Raw genomic sequence first — 15,334 nt, 5'->3', positions numbered from 1 at the left:
GGAGAAGAGGAGTGAGGAGATGAGGCCCCCTGGGATCCCCTCACTTCCCCATGGCTGCTCCTCCCAGCCCTCTCTATCCCATCAATACAGGGAGCATTATGAGGCTGGTCCTGGTGAGACCGGAGTGAAGAAACACAAGATAAGTGTCCAGGAATGAGAGAGACATGGCCTCCAACCAGCATCACATTTTATGAGACACGGTGGATGGTAACTATGCAAAATGGAATAAGACACCAAACTCACACAGTGCATTTGTGGCAGAGCTGAAGCTAGAACCCAGGTCTCTTGACTCCCAGGCCAGTGCTCTTCCCACAAGAATGAGGAAGAATCATACTAACACTGGAAAAGGTTTAGAAAACAGGCCGGGCGTGGTGGCTCATGCCTGTAATCCCAACACTTTGGGATGCCAAGGCCAGCAAATCACTTGAGGCCAGAAGTTCTAGACTACCCTGGCCAACATGACAAAACCCCATCTCTACTAAAAACACAAAAATTAGCTGGGCATGATGGGCGCCTGTAATCCCAGCTACTCAGGAGGCTGAGGCAGGAGAATCACTTGAACCCAGGAGGCAGAGGTTGCAGTGAGCCGAGATCGTGCCGCTGCACTCCAGCCCGGGAGACAGAGCAAGACTCCATCTCAAAACAAAAACAAAAACAAAAATAAAAATTAGCAGGTGTGGTGGCTGGCCCCTGTAATCCCAGCTACTCAGGAGGCTGAGGCAAGAGAATCACTTGACCCCAGGAGGAGGAGGTTGCAGTGAGCTGAGACTGTGCCACTGCACTCCAGCCTGAGTGACAGAGGGAGACTCGGTCTCAAAGAAACAAAAAGAAAAAGAAAAGAAAAGGTTTAGAAAACAGAAAAGAAAATCATGCCTAATCCCACAGCCTAGACACTGGTTCTCTCCACGCTGTTGTCCTCTGCAAACGTTCAGGGCTTCCTTTCAAACTGTTTCCCATGAAGACTCAAAATGAGAGAGGCTCCCCGAAGGTCACACAGCACTTGCTTCACCTGTGGGCTGCAGACTATGCCAGGAAGCCACAACGATGTGGATTTCTGGGACTTGCTTCTAGAGATTCTGAGGCCCAGGCCTGTGGCGGGTCTCTAGAATCTGTATGTTTAAGGACTCCAGGTGATGCGTTGGACTTCAGGGAGTCCATGCACCCCACTCTCAGGCTCCCTCCCATTTTGCTGTCCCATCTCCAAGTCCCATCCTGCGAGTCAGTGTGCCTTGAGCTTGCTGGGTATGCACACTGAGGGCGGTGGAGGAGGTTTCATGCCTGAGGAGGGTGGCTGCAGGCATTGAGATTTCCTTATTGATGCTCTAGGACCAGATGATTCCTCACCCCAGAGTCTACCAGCCACCTGGGTCCTCTCCTGAAAACGTATGGAGTGCTGAGCTCCCTAGGCACCTGGAAGGCTCTTGGATGGGTTTGGTGGGGCAGCTGGGGAGGAGCGGCTATTACTGGAAACTGTTTTTTTGTTTTGTTTTGTTTTGTTTTGTTTTTTGAGACAGAGTCACTTGCTCTGTCACCCAGGCTGGAGTGCAGTGGTGCGATCTCAGCTCACTGCAACCTCCACCTCCCGGGTTCAAGCAATTCTCCTGCCTCAGCCTCCCGTGGTGGGTGGGACTAGAGGCACATGCCACCACGACCGGCTAATTTTTTGTATTTTTAGTAGAGATGGGGTTTCACCATGTTGGCCAGGCTGGTCTCGATCTCCTGACCTCGTGATCTGCCCGCCTCAGCCTCCCAAAGTGTTGGGATTACAGGCATCAGCCACCACGCCCAGCCTACTGGAAACTGTTAGTGGAGCATGGCATGGCACCAGGACCCAGGATTTCCACCCTCCACCCTGCTGGGCAGAGCCTTAGAGGCTGTGAGAGGGTAGATAGTAAAAGAGAGGGGGCAGCGAGTTGGGGAGAAGGCGTGAAAAGAAAGAGAGAGCAAAGTGAGAGGCTTAGGGTGCATTTCTGAAAGAAAGATTTAGACCCAGAGAGGGACAGGGACCACAAAGTCAGGGACCCAGATCGTGACTCAGTGGGAAAGTCTCAGGCTGGGCCTGCGAGAGGGGCATGAAAGAAAGGAGACAGACAGAGATGGGCCAATGGGAGGAAAGTCTGCAGAGGCAGAGAGGCCTGGGGGTGCTGGAGCTGGGGCAGAGAGAAATGGGGTGGGGAGACTTAGTTGGGTGGCTGGGTTGGAACCTCAATCCCAACCCTTACTGGCTGTGCTACCTATTAAAGTATCTTAACCTCTCTGGGTTTTTTTTGTCAGTAAATGGAGCTATCAGACCTCTGCCAGGACTGACTGGGTCTGTCATGTGAAGGTTGAGGGATGCTGTCCTAAGGCTGAAACAAAACAGAGGCATAAACTGTGCTAAGCCCTCTTTCCTCTACTCCCAGCCACTTACACCTGCCCTTTCCTCCCTCTGGCTTAGTGGCTCATCCACAAAGTGTCCTTCAGGTCCATCCTCAGCCTCCACTCAGGGCCTGGGGCCAAAAGAGAGCCCCTCTGTTCATAAGACTCACATATTAGAAAGGGACAGGCTTCCCCTCCTGATACCCATATACCATTCCCTGGGTACCTGAGCGCTGGGATAAGCCAGGCCCTTGGAGATCTGGGATCACAAAGATAAATTAGGGTCAGTCCCTGCCCCCAAAGAGCTCCTAGCAAAGTGACCCCCTCAGCCCTCTTGCTCCTGGGGTGTAGACTCACAACACACCACGTGCACACACGCCATCATCCACGCATGTGCACACACACCCCATGCAGAGCTATGCTAGGGAAATCTCTGCGATCCAGTCCCTGCAGCCCCACCGCCTGCTCTTGCCCCACATCCAGCATCCCAGAGCTCCTTCAGCATCTGACTCTGCCCACCCCGCGTGCCCTGAATCCCCTCCCCCTCTGGGCCCAGACTGCCAGTCCTTCAGAGGGCATGGCCGGAACCATCAGATTAACAGCCAGAGAGGGGGGAAGGGGAGGGACAAGCACCTGTAGAACCCCCCCGCCCCGTGACAGCTGCAGGAGTTCCGAGTCCCCAGCACCCAGCACCAGGTGGTCAGTGTGAACACAGAACAGAGGGCTCCTCCCAAGGTCAAGGGCTCCAGGCTCTCATCTGCAGGCTGGGTCACCCTTCCCCACACACCCCCCACCAAGCCTGAGCGGCCCTTACCCCTGGGCTCCAGGCCAGGCCTGGGTGCCTTTCAGTCCTCCTTCTCCGTGGCATCTTATTTTGAATCATCTATCCTCTCTCTATCTCTAGCTGCTCTCACCCCTGCCAGCATTTCACATAAGACCCACACCCTCCATGCACACCCACGCATGCAGTAGGCCGCCCCCGCTGCACTCCCAGGCTAGGGCTCCTGCGCCCTCCTGAAGGGATATTCAGACATCAGGTACTTGGGTAACTCTGTTATCAGGAGGGCATGCCACAGTATGGATGGGCAAGCCCAAGCTTCAGGAGGCACTGGGGAGAGGCTGTGCCCCCACCCTTCCTGCCTCTCAGCAGACAGGCCCTTAATCTCAGGCAGGAAGCAGGGTCTGGTTACCAGGAGTTGGGCTGGGGAGGCGGGAAATATCCAGGGCTTTGGGTAAAAGGAGCTGGGAGAGGAGGGAAGAAAAAGAAGAGCCAAGGAAAAGGGACTTGGAGGGAGGGCACAGGCTGAGGGGTTAACCCCCACGCTGCCAAGCTCCTCTCTGCTTCCCATCTTGCCATCTTGGCATGACTTCCTGGCACAGTCAGGCTCTGCCAGGCCAGGCCTCGCTGTCCTTCAGAGGGCCACCCACCCCCTGGGGCCTCCTCTCTCCCCAAGGTTCTCTCTGGCTTCCTGGGATCTGTGGGCAGCCCTGTGTGCCCATGTCTCTCAGGGCTCCTGAGTGTCTGGGTTCCTCTGGTCTGATTCGGCCCCTCTCTGGGTCCCTGTGTTTTTGCCTGCGTCTTGTGTATCCTCTTTACGTCCACTCCTATCCCTGGGACCTGTGAGAGGTCTGCACGCTGGTCCTGAGTGTAGGTTCTGTGCCTCTGTCTGCGTCTCTGTGTCTGTCTGTTACCTGTGGGCCTCGGAACTTGCCTTGTCTCTGTAGCGTGTTTGTGTCTGTCTCTGCATCTTCATGTCACTGTCCGTGTCTCCAGGGCTATCCAGCGCTCCATGTATCTCCTGCATGTCTATCTGTCCATCTGGGACTAGGCCTCATCTGTGAGTTGGCTCTGGCCTTCCTGTGTCTGGCCTAGAGCTTTTTGCCTTGTCCACCTGGTTAATGTCTCAGGGTGCGGGTGAGACAGAGCAGACTTACGGACTTGGTTAGGGATGAATGAGAGAGGAAGAGGGAAAAGGGCATGGGTGGTATTGGGGGAAAGAGTCCCATTCCTAAATAGTGCCTGAAGCAAGCTGCCCAGCCCTGAAATGCCAGGGTGAAGCTCTGTGTGGCCAGGGGGCAAGGGAGAGAGGGCATGGCAGGGAACACACCTGCTCAGGGCTGGCAGCGGAGTTGCACAGAAACAGAAACAGACCTAGTTGGTATGTGGGGGTGGGCCCTCTACATACCAGAAACAGGACCCAGAAACAGGTGGAAAGACAAACATGGAACTCTAGGTTCTGATTCTGGCTCCGCCACTGGCGTAGATCACCTTGGGCTAGGCCCTTTCCCTCTGTGTGTCGCAGTTTTCTGCTCTGTAAAATGAGACAGCAAGGACCATCCCCTAGAATTCTGTTAGAGAGCCAGAGTGACAGAAGACATCCCTAAACCCAGGACAGAAGACTAGTTGCCCCTTTCTGTCCCTTAAGGAGGTATCCCAAAGACCCTTATAGTACCAACAGCCTCTGTGTCTGCGATTCAGCACCACTAGGGGCAGGACAGAGGGAAGAATGGAGGTTAGACAGCAGGAAGGACTTCCTGCCAAGCAGTGGGAGGGTGAGGAGGCCCCAGCTTCTCCCAGCAGTCCTCCAGGGCCCCTCTGTCAGGGCTAGGGGTGGAGGGGCAGGAGTGGGGGGCGTTCAGCAGCTGGGTAATTAGCCATCGCTCTCAGGCCCTGCGGGGAGGGGCTGGCTGGACTGAGAAACCAACGCAAAGTGACAGGGGTGGTTTTGACACGCGGTGGAGCTGACGGGCCCAGGGGGCTGGGGGTTTGGTTTGGGGGGGAAAAATCCCATCAAATGATTAAAAAATAGGTCAGAGGGAAGAAGCCACAGCCGGCACTGGGTCCGTGGTGAGAACGCCATGTCGCTTCCCCAGGGCTGTGGGCCAGAATGGGGTGGGGGAGCTGAGGAGTGTTTGCAGTGGGCGGGTGAGCTGGGAGTGGGGGCAAGAAGGCTGCAGGCCCAGCAGCTGGCCCTCTGCTTCCCTCAACCCTGTCTCACGGGGACATTTTACCTGCAGCCCACCTCCTGGCCTTCCTGTTGTACCATCTTCCTCCTCAAAGGCAGGATGCTGCAGCTCTTCTTCTGTTCCCCCTACCCCACCCACAACATATATACAAACTCCATTCCAGAAACACTGAGGCTACTGCCGCATGTGGAAGCCCTTCTTACCTTCTCACCTAGGGATCTCCTGCGCAAAGGCAGCTTGCTGACTTATCCTACATTTCTTGCCCATCTGAACTAATTCACCTGCCACTGCATCCCCTTTGCCATCTTGCCAACTCTGCAAGGGGTCCACTTTGGCCCTCCAGCTTGTTCTCAGATTGTCCTTTTCCCTCCTTCTCTCCTTTTCTGCCTTCCCAACTTCTGCCACAAATCATAACCACAGTAGCCTGGGAAAGGCAGAGAACAAGGAGGAGTGAGGTAATAGACTCAGGAGCCTGGGACAGGTTGGTGATCTCTAAGCACTTAGAGATCTAAGTAGGTGGAGGCTGATTGACTGTGTCTGCATTGTACAGCAATTTGAGATTCCTGGTAGTGTTCCCCCGATTTAGGCAGTTTACAGCCACCTCCCACCTCCTCTACTGAAGACTGGGACATTCTTTCAGCTGTCTTCCCACAACCCCTTAAATTGCAGCTTAATCCCATTTCCTTTTCTGAGGTCACTGAAACTCATGGAGAGATTAGCACCTGAAATTTGGGAGTAGAACGGAGGCCTGGGATCCACATGCCACAACTCCCTTCCTTATAAATCCTAGGCACAGGCAGAAATCAGGCAAGCAACCAGTGTGTGAAGCAGAGGGACAAACCAGGCATTAGGCTCCCAGCAGTGCTGTCTCCAGCTGAGTGGGCACCTGGGTCCCAGCCACTGGAATGGAGGACACCCAAGGCCATGTTGGCGCGAAAATGGATTGGCTAGGTCTGACCTTGAGTTTAACCCCACTTACCACCCCAGACACAGATCCGCTCTGACACACAAGTCTGAGATTTCCCCAGGAGCCTGCTGTTTGCTGCTTGCCCCGCTCAGTTACCCAGGAAGTGTCAGAAGGCGTCCAGCCTACCTCCTCCCACCAGGGCCATGGGCAGCTGGCTGGACCGAGCTGGGCACTGAGAAGGGCCCTGGACCCACGTCTCTGGCCACAGGGGACATAAAGGTGGCATGGCTGCCCAGCATTGCCCCCTCTCCTTGCTCACCGCCATTTCTTTCCAATCACTGGCATCAGAACCTGACATTCTGTGAGTTGGGAAAGGATGGTTATGGTCAGGCAAGTTCTTAGCAACTGGACCAGTAACTGGGAGTTGAGATACTGACCTCATCACCTTGCATTTCACACACATGCACACACTGAACTAGGGCCACCCAAGACCCAGGGCCCTGCAAATAGGCAGTGGGGCATGGGGCTCCCAGGTTCCCATGCATGACCCTGGATGTTGCCAAATCTAGCTTGTACTTTGTCTCAATCCTTGACTCCCAGTGAGTTTGGAAACTGTAAAAACCCCAGTTCTTCCTAATTAACCCCCTCCTCCTATCACCACTCTGGGTTGAGGGGTAAAGGATGAGATAAGAGAATATCCCGGCCAGGCATAGTGGCTCATGCCTGTAATCCTAGCACTTTGGGAGGCCGAAGTGGGCAGATCACTTGAGATCAGGAGTTCGAAACCAGCCTGACCAACATGGTGAAACCCCATCTCTACTAAAAATACAAAAAAACCTATCTGGTCGTGGTGGTAGGTGCCTGTAATCCCACCTACTAGGGAGGCTGAGGCAGGAGAATTGCTTGGACCCGGGAGGCGGAGGTTGCAGTGAGCTGAGGCTGTACCACTGCACTCCAGCCTGGGCAACAGAGAGAGACTGTCAAAAAAAAAAAAAAAAAGAACATCCCCAGGCAACTCGTACCCTTTATTTCCTTTCTTTCTTTCTCTCTCTCTCTCTTCTTTTTTTTTTTTTTTTTTTTGGTTAAGACTAGTCAATATACCTTTGATTTCATTAGACTTCACAATGGTGTGAAGGCAACTGGGTGGGAACCATTGTTCCCATTTTACAGACAAGGAAACTGAGATATAAAAAAGTTAAGTATCAGCCAGGCACAGTGGCTCATGTCTGTAATCCCAGCACTTTGGGAGGCCGAGGCGGGAGGATCACAGGGTCAGGAGATTGAGACCATCCTGGCCAACATGGTGAAACCCCGTCTCTACTAAAAATACAAAAATTACCTGGTGTGGTGGCACGCGCCTGTAGTCCCAGCTACTCAGGAGGCTGAGGCAGGAGAATTGCTTGAACGAGGGAGTTGGAGGTTGCAGTGATCTGGGATTGTGCCACTGCACTACAGCCTGGTGACAGAGCGAGACTCCATCTCAAAAAAAAAAAAGTTAAGTACCAGCTGGGCACAGTGGCTCATGCCTGTAATCCCAGCACTTTGGGAGGCTGAGATGGGTGTATCACTGGAGGTCAGGAGTTCGAGATCAGCCTGGCCAATATGGTGAAACTCCATCTCTACTAAAAACACAAAAATTAGCCGGGCGTGATGGCACATGCCTGTAATCCCAGATACTAAGAGGCTGAGACAGGATAATTGCTTGAACCCAGGAGGCAGAGGCTGCACTGAGCCGAGATCGTGCCATTGCTCTCCAGCCTGGGCAACAGACAGAGATTCTGTCTCAAAAAAAAAAAGAAAAGTTAAATACCTTGTCAAGATCACATGGCTGGTGACCTAATGAACACTTACTGTGCACTTTCCTGAGTGGAGCCTCCCACACCTGTGTGAAGAGGACACTATCGTTCCCATTTTGCAGATGAGAAGCTGGTGCTCAGAGAGGTGACACAATTTTCCCAGGCTCTCAGTTATTTTTATCCCCTGACCCTCTCTCCTTATAAGGTACCCAACCCAACCCGGGCTGAGTCCTTCTCCTTATTCCCTCTGGAGAAAGGCAAGATGGAAGGGCCCTCTATGTCACCCAGTGAGTGTTCCCCTATGTTTTGGGAAGTCATCCTGGTGTCCTAATTGACATTACCCTTCCCTCAACCCAGGCCTCTTCTCACCTCTCCTGGTGTCCTTTCTGTCTGATGACCCTGCAGAACCCGACCCCGTTACTCAGCAAATCCCATCCTGCTGATGGGGTAGGAGTGGGGAAGCAGGGCTGAGAGACCGAAAGGGGCAGGGACTAGCTTCGTCACACAGCAGCCACTGTGGCAGTGGAGGAAGATGAGTCCAGATGGGAAGGACCCAGGAGTCCTGGTTTCCAGGTGGAGTGAGAGGCAGGAGCCTTCCTCACTTCTCCAAACTCCCTGCCCCAGGCAACGGAGCCCACTGCCAGCCATCCAAGCTGTTAGGTGTTTCTGCCTGAGGAGGGAAGGGGCCTGGGCAGCTCCTAGAATGGGAAGAGAATGCCACTGGGCATGTGCCCTGCCAGGCAGTGCTTCCGTCTTTCTGCCCACGCCTAAGTTCATCACACCTTCTGCTCTGCCCTCCTGCTAATCGAACCTGCACTCTCCTCCCTCTTGCTTTTCACCTTGGGACACGTGAGCCAGTGGCCAAGAGTGAGGCAGCAGAGCCAAGTGGAGCCACCAGCTGCCTCATCCCCTCCATGCCAGCCAGACTGCCTGGGATTCTGGGGATCCCTGTATGCCCCTGCCGCAGCCTCAGCAGTAGCTCTGTCGACAGCTCTTAGGAGCTCCTGTTCCGGGCTGGAAGTGAGGAGGGGGCTTTCCTTGACAACAAACAGGGAAATGGGGGGCCCCACGCCCTGGCCCCAGGCTCTTCTTACGATCTAACCCCCTTGGGGCAGGCCCTTCTTCTCGAAGAAACCCAGGGAAGGCTTCCAAAAAAATCACCTGAGGCAGAGTCCCTTTCTTGCCCCGGGCTATAAGTTCTTCTTCTAGTCTAACCTTGATCCCTTGCAGAGGGGTGGAAGAGGGCAGAGATGAATTGCAGTTTCTTATAAACCTGGTGGCTTCTAGTTCCCCGACGACAATACAGCGGAGGAGCCCTGTGGTTCTGGCTCTGAGTCAGGCCCCATCGCCCGGGCGTCCCCAGTGCCATCTCCCTCCGCCCCTCCCCGGACTGGAAAATCAGGCTCATGCCTCTGCCGAGAGTCAGTGCTTCCCCTCCTTCCCCTCACCATCTCGCTTTCCCCTAAAGGGAGGTGTTTCCTCGAAGCAGGGAAAAGTCAAGGGGGCAGAGACCTCACCAGCCACCGGGAGGCGGCACTCGGTAGGCACGGGCACGGGGTGGGGGTGGGGCGACCCTGCCTTCCTCTCCCTTCCCCCTCCACCCCTCCAGCCCAGCTCCCCGGCCATGCTCTTCCAGACGGCTGCATGTGTGCGTGTGCACACACACTTAAAACACGTGTGTGGTTGGTATGTAGGGGGGCCCTCTAGCCCCCCGAGGGAGAGGGCGGGTGGAGGAGGGAAGGAAGGTGTCATGCCTCTGATGTGCCTATCAGTGACACAAACTTTTTCCACACGTATGTTCTTCACACGTTCTGGGTCTGCACGTGCTCATCATGCCTCCCGAGTCACATGTCTGATCGGCGTCCCGCTCCCCCGCTTGGCATTGATCCCTGGGTATTAAGCGGATTCCCTCCGCCTCCCTGTGAGGAGACCCGCCCACCTCGGGAGGGAAGGGTTGGGAATTCAGGAGTCTCTGAGGATACCGGCACCTCCCTCTCAGAAAACTGGCTCCTCCTCCCAGCAGAGGACCCTCGGCCTGGTGGGGGCAGGTCACAGACGTGCCATGCAGACCCTCAACCTTCCCATCTGTTTGAGGGCTCAAAGAGATATCAAAACTCCACCCCTAGACCCTGGATGTAGGTGGGAGAGTTTGGGGAGGGTCTCACCCCTTGGGGAAATTGAACCCAGCCGGGGAGTGGTTAGGAAGGTCTAGGTCAGCAATCAGAAGAACTCACGTGCACCTCGCTGTCAGGGGTGGGGGGAGTATGAGGGAGCCTAAACAGAAAGTGAGCAGGACAGAGGGAGAAAGAAAGAGAGGGAAAGAGAGAAACTGAGACCACGGGCAGTCACAAAGAGAGAGGAGGGCAGCGCTGGATGTGGGCAGGACCTTCTGGATAGCCGGGCAGTGTGGTGAGGGGGCCTGCGGGTCTACAAAGTGGTTGCCTTTTCCCTTTCTTCTCTAGCATCACAGATACGCGAAAGGTCAGTGCTGAGATAATCCAAGCCTTTCATCTCAAGGAGAAATCGAGTCAGAGCAAGACGGCTCAGAGCCACTAAAAGGGAATACAGAACCCTGTAGAGCCCACCCTCCTGCCTCCCAGGTTGTGAATTTTCTAACCCCATGGGGAATCAGGAGGACCCAGCACCTGGGATGTTCAGCACAGCAGGGGCAGTTCCAGCACTCTCTGCAGCTCAAGCAGCTGGGCTGCCTAGCTGGTGCCCAGGCCCTGCCAAGGGGACCCATGATACCCAGTCCCACTAGCAGCATCAGCAGCTTAGCTACCCCGAGAACTGGGACCAGAAGAGGCATGTTGAAAGGAGACTCTTTTGATGACCCAGGCGTCCTCCACCCCAACCCCTCCCCACTCCAAGCTGCTGGGTGTGCAAGCCCAGGGATACTGCTACCTCCACCTTGGTGACCCCCCAGCTCCTGAACCCACAGACATTGCGAGACACAGTGCGCGCAGGCCCTGCCACTTGGGAACTCAGACCCTAGCAAAAGCCTCCAAAGAAAACAATGTTCTGTCTTGGCCTCTGACTCCCCTGAAAATCTGGGGGGCTAATGGGAGGGACTTTTAACCCCCTTAGTCATCCTAGGAAGCCAAGCTGAATAGCAGTGACTGATAGTCACCCGACCACAAGCCAATTTTGCGGTTTCAGTTGTTTTCAGAAGGAGCAGCAAAGCAGTGGCAGGAGGCCCTGGGCAGAGGAGTGGGCTGACTCCCGGACCCCAGCCCCTGCCCAGAGCACTCTGCCCTAGCACGACCCAGCCCAAGGCTCAGCAAGACCCAGAACTGCACCCACTTTACAGATTCACACAGACAGGGTTTGCAACAACCAGAAACAGCCTTCTGTATCCCCTCCATGTACCCCTGGCTACTTTACTGGCAAGGCTGGCTGCTTTCTGCATCCACGATGAGCCCTTTTGCTTTGCTTTTCTCTTTTGTTTTCCTTCATTTCCCCTCCTTTCTTCTTTCATATCATTTCACTTCCTTTCTCTTTCCCTCTTTCATTTTTCTTTCCTTCCCTCTTTTCTTCCTTTCCTTTCTCTTCCTTCCTTATTCCCTCCTCTCTCTCTCCTTCTCTCTCTGCCCCTGCCCCATTACATGTGTGCCTGGCAGGAATAATCTAGGAGTCACAACCAAGAGCAGAGGCCCCTGAGTCCCCCAGGTATACTCCCGAACCACATCTGTCACCTCCCTCATGAGCTACAGGGAAAGAGATCAAGATTAGCTCTAAGGGAAGCTTCCTGCTGAGTGGAGTTTGGAGTAATCTCAGAAATATAGAATGCCAAAATGTCAGAGCCGTGATGGAAATTAAACCACCTAGTCCACTGAGGAACAGAAGCACTGAGAAACCGCACAGTGTTCACAGAGTGCGGCTAGAACCAGAGGTGCTCACTCTCAGAACAGGCTCTAAACGGCTTCCTTCGCTACCCTGCAAGCTGAGAATTCCCTCCCCTTCTCACAATTTTCAGTGTAAACCAGACCCCTTGTCCTCATGACCAGACAGAAGAAGAAAGTAAAGAGGAATGGACTTGGCTCAAGGATGTGGATACAGGTCAGTGGCAGCCCAGGCACAGACAGCTACAGCATTTTGGTAACATATGGCATTGCCGTGTCCTCTTCCTCCAGGAAGCCTACTAGAATTAGGAATGAGCCTGTCACCCTCCACACCTGGTGGCCTCAGCCATGGCAGAGAGAGAAAGGATGAACGAGATGTGCCTGAGTACCAGCCACAGCTCACAGCCCTGAGTGACAGAGAGGAAGGAGGAGGAATGAGAGGGGCAGGAAGTGGGGTCCAGACAGGAGTGGGGAGGTGCGTGAAGCTAGGGAAGGGGAGGCACTCCCACGGGGAAAAAAGCTGCCCTGATGAGTCACTGCTGCCCAGGTGCAGCCCTCCTTGGGGCTGCCCAGCTGCGTTTTAAGTTTTATCATGTGATTTCTATGAAGGATAATGGAGTGGTGGGCTGGAGCTGGCTCATGCCAGCTCTCAAGAGCCAATTATGAGTATCTCTTCCCAGTGCTCAGTGCTGAGGTAGCTTACATTGGAGAGCTGGTTGTTAAACATTTGCCAGCACACCACTGGATAATGAGGTCAGCTTCAGAGCCAGGAGTGTACGCGTCTGCATATGGGTGTGGGATTTCCATGCATGTGTTAGTGTGCACTATTCCTCGGTTCCTGTGGCACGTGGGACACACCTGTGTGGCACTGTGATCCTGGCTGTGTGTGTTGGGAGGAGTGTGTCCCTGCACGTGGGTGTCCCTGGAAGCCTGGTAGGTGGGGAAGGGATGAGCATGGAACTGGGTCGGTCCGTGTGCTTTGTGTATCTGGGGTGATGTGACAGGGTGAGTCTGGAGGGTGGTGTGGTGACAATGCAACTGCTTGACCATCCGTGGGAAGGAGACCCACCTGTGCCCACTGTGGGGGACTAGGGCAGCACCTGAGATCAGAGACACACACCTCTGAGCTCAGAGGACGCAGGGAGTCCTGAGACCCTGTGCGAAGTCTCACCTCTGCACTGCTTCTGTCCTCAGGCACAACCATTTGCCAGTCTGGGAAGGAGTGGAGTGTCCAGGTGGGCATAGGGCTCTCTGATCCCTCATGTGAGTTGTGTGTGTGTGCTGGGCACACACAGAGGCCAGCACCAGGGGGCACTGTCCTCTCCCTTCCCCCTCACCCATGCAGGGGTGAACTATTTCTTTCACACCATCTCCTGATCCTCCCCCTCACCTCCCATCCACAGTGTGCTTTTGCTGTCTGTGGGGAGAAGGGAGAGTTCGGCTCCTGCAACACCCACAAGGCCAAGGGCCCCATGAAAGGGGAGGGGCAAGATCATTATTCAGTCAGCCTGGCCACCTTCTCACCTCTGGGCTGGAGGCCTGGCATGGGCATCCCTTCAAAGTGACATGGTCCCCTGCCTCTCGCCTCATTGGCTGCCTCCAGCTGCTCTACCCCAGGGGACTTGGCTCCACTGTTGCATTGACCTTTGAGGCTCCAAATGAGGTTTCATCTCAGTCTCCCCACCAAGAAGTCCTGCAGGCCTCTTGCTCAAGGGAGGAACGGGTAGAAGGACCAGAGCCGTTTCTTCCCACCCCCTCTCTGCCCTGGCCCATAAGGCCAGAAGAAGAAAAGCAGGAAGACAGGACAGGTGAGAGGAGGTGCGGAGAGGTAGCCTTTCCTCCCTGTACTCTTCCACCTCAGATCCCTCAACGCAGGCTGTGGCCTGGGGACATGTGTGTTCTCACGCCTGGACCCACCCTCATCCCTCCTGCCTGGAGCCTTCTGCCACCCACTCCCCACCCGCAGTGGGTCTCTCTGTTCATCTCTCTGCCTCTGTTCCCAAGGCCAGGCCAAGCTCCCAGATCCCTCTAGGGATCTGCTGTGGGGAACATCCAGGGGACAGGATCCCTCAGTTCTTCTTTGGAAATGTGTCCGCAGGAAGTTCTTCCTAAAGTTTAACCGAAGGTTCCTTCTACTGCAGCCAGTGCCCAGCACCTCCCAGGCTGGAAGTTGGGTCTTCTTCCCACTCCAGCCAATGCTCTCCTTCAGGTGAAGCTGGATCAGGTGGAGAAACAACCCAGCTCCAAAAAAGAAAACAAAAGTCTTTGTTCATCCCCTACCCTCCCTGCCCACCCCTGTCCCCAGCCACCACAGAAACCCACAGGGCATTGGAGCCTTCATCCCAAAATGAGTCAGGGCCCTTCAGAGGGTTGAACTGGGGTGCAAGAATTTCCCTTCATGCCAAGCAAGGGTTCTATCTAATAGCAATCTCCACCCAGCCTCCTTGGGCCAAGGAGCAGGTCAGCCTCCCCATTGGGAGGGGTCCAACCACCTGTGGAAGCTCGGCTGGCCTGGATGCGCCTTTCGCCCTGGCCTCCTCTAACACCAAATTTCACTCCCCCTGCTTGACACTAAGGGAGGATCTGCGCAGAGTGCCTAAGTGTGGAGTTGGGTGCAAGAAGTACTCAGGCCTGCTGAACCGGGCTCCGTGCCTGCCTCACAGTCTGCCCTCCACACCCACCTTCCAAGGAAGCAACGGAAATAGAAACTTCCCCCTAGGTCTGAGGCCCCAGGGACCCTCACAGGGTACCAAGAGGCCAGCTCCAAATCTCCTGGCTCGTTCTTTCCACCCTCACACTCAAGGGAACAAGAAGACTTTCCCAGAGAGGAAGGAAGTGCTTAGGTGTCCCAGGGCCAAAGAAGATGCCTAGGAGGGCAGCAGTAGCCCAGCTGACCCCATGGAGAGCCTGCTCCCCCACCCCTGCCCCCTGCGCTGCATATATTTTCTCCCCCTAAAATAGCATCTCTGGAGGGAGGAGTGGGGGAGTTCTCAGTTCACTGTTCTCTCCTTCCCACAGTGCGTTCACAGCTCTCTCACTGTCTCTCACGACCTGGTTTCCCTGCCAGGCCCTTCTGCTCTGCCTCCACCTCGCCCTGCCAGGTGCCAGGACCTCTTGGCCAGAGAGGGGGCCTGCTCTCCATGGCCCATCATTTCCCACTTCCAAGCCGTGACTGTCACACCATTCCCTCCCCTCTTTGGGACAGAAGTAAATTCAATCCACACAGTTTGAGCATCAAATGTGTCTGTGAGTCTGTGCCTCAGTCACTGGGGCAGGGGATAGAAGTGTCGCGCTGCCACGGTCCTGATCCTTTTCTTCCAGGATCCCATTGCCTGACACTCAGAGGCCTCTAACAGAGCTGGGAGTCCCTGGGGTTGCGGGGACGGGGGTCTACCTTTGCCCCACCACACAGCCACAGTCTCACACCGGACCCGGATTTACCTCATGCCATTTTTAGAATCTCA

The sequence above is a fragment of the Homo sapiens genome, chromosome 17 (genome assembly GCF_000001405.40).
Source record: "Homo sapiens chromosome 17, GRCh38.p14 Primary Assembly".
Taxonomy (NCBI): domain Eukaryota; kingdom Metazoa; phylum Chordata; class Mammalia; order Primates; family Hominidae; genus Homo; species Homo sapiens.
Note: the sequence above shows the minus strand (reverse complement) of the source record.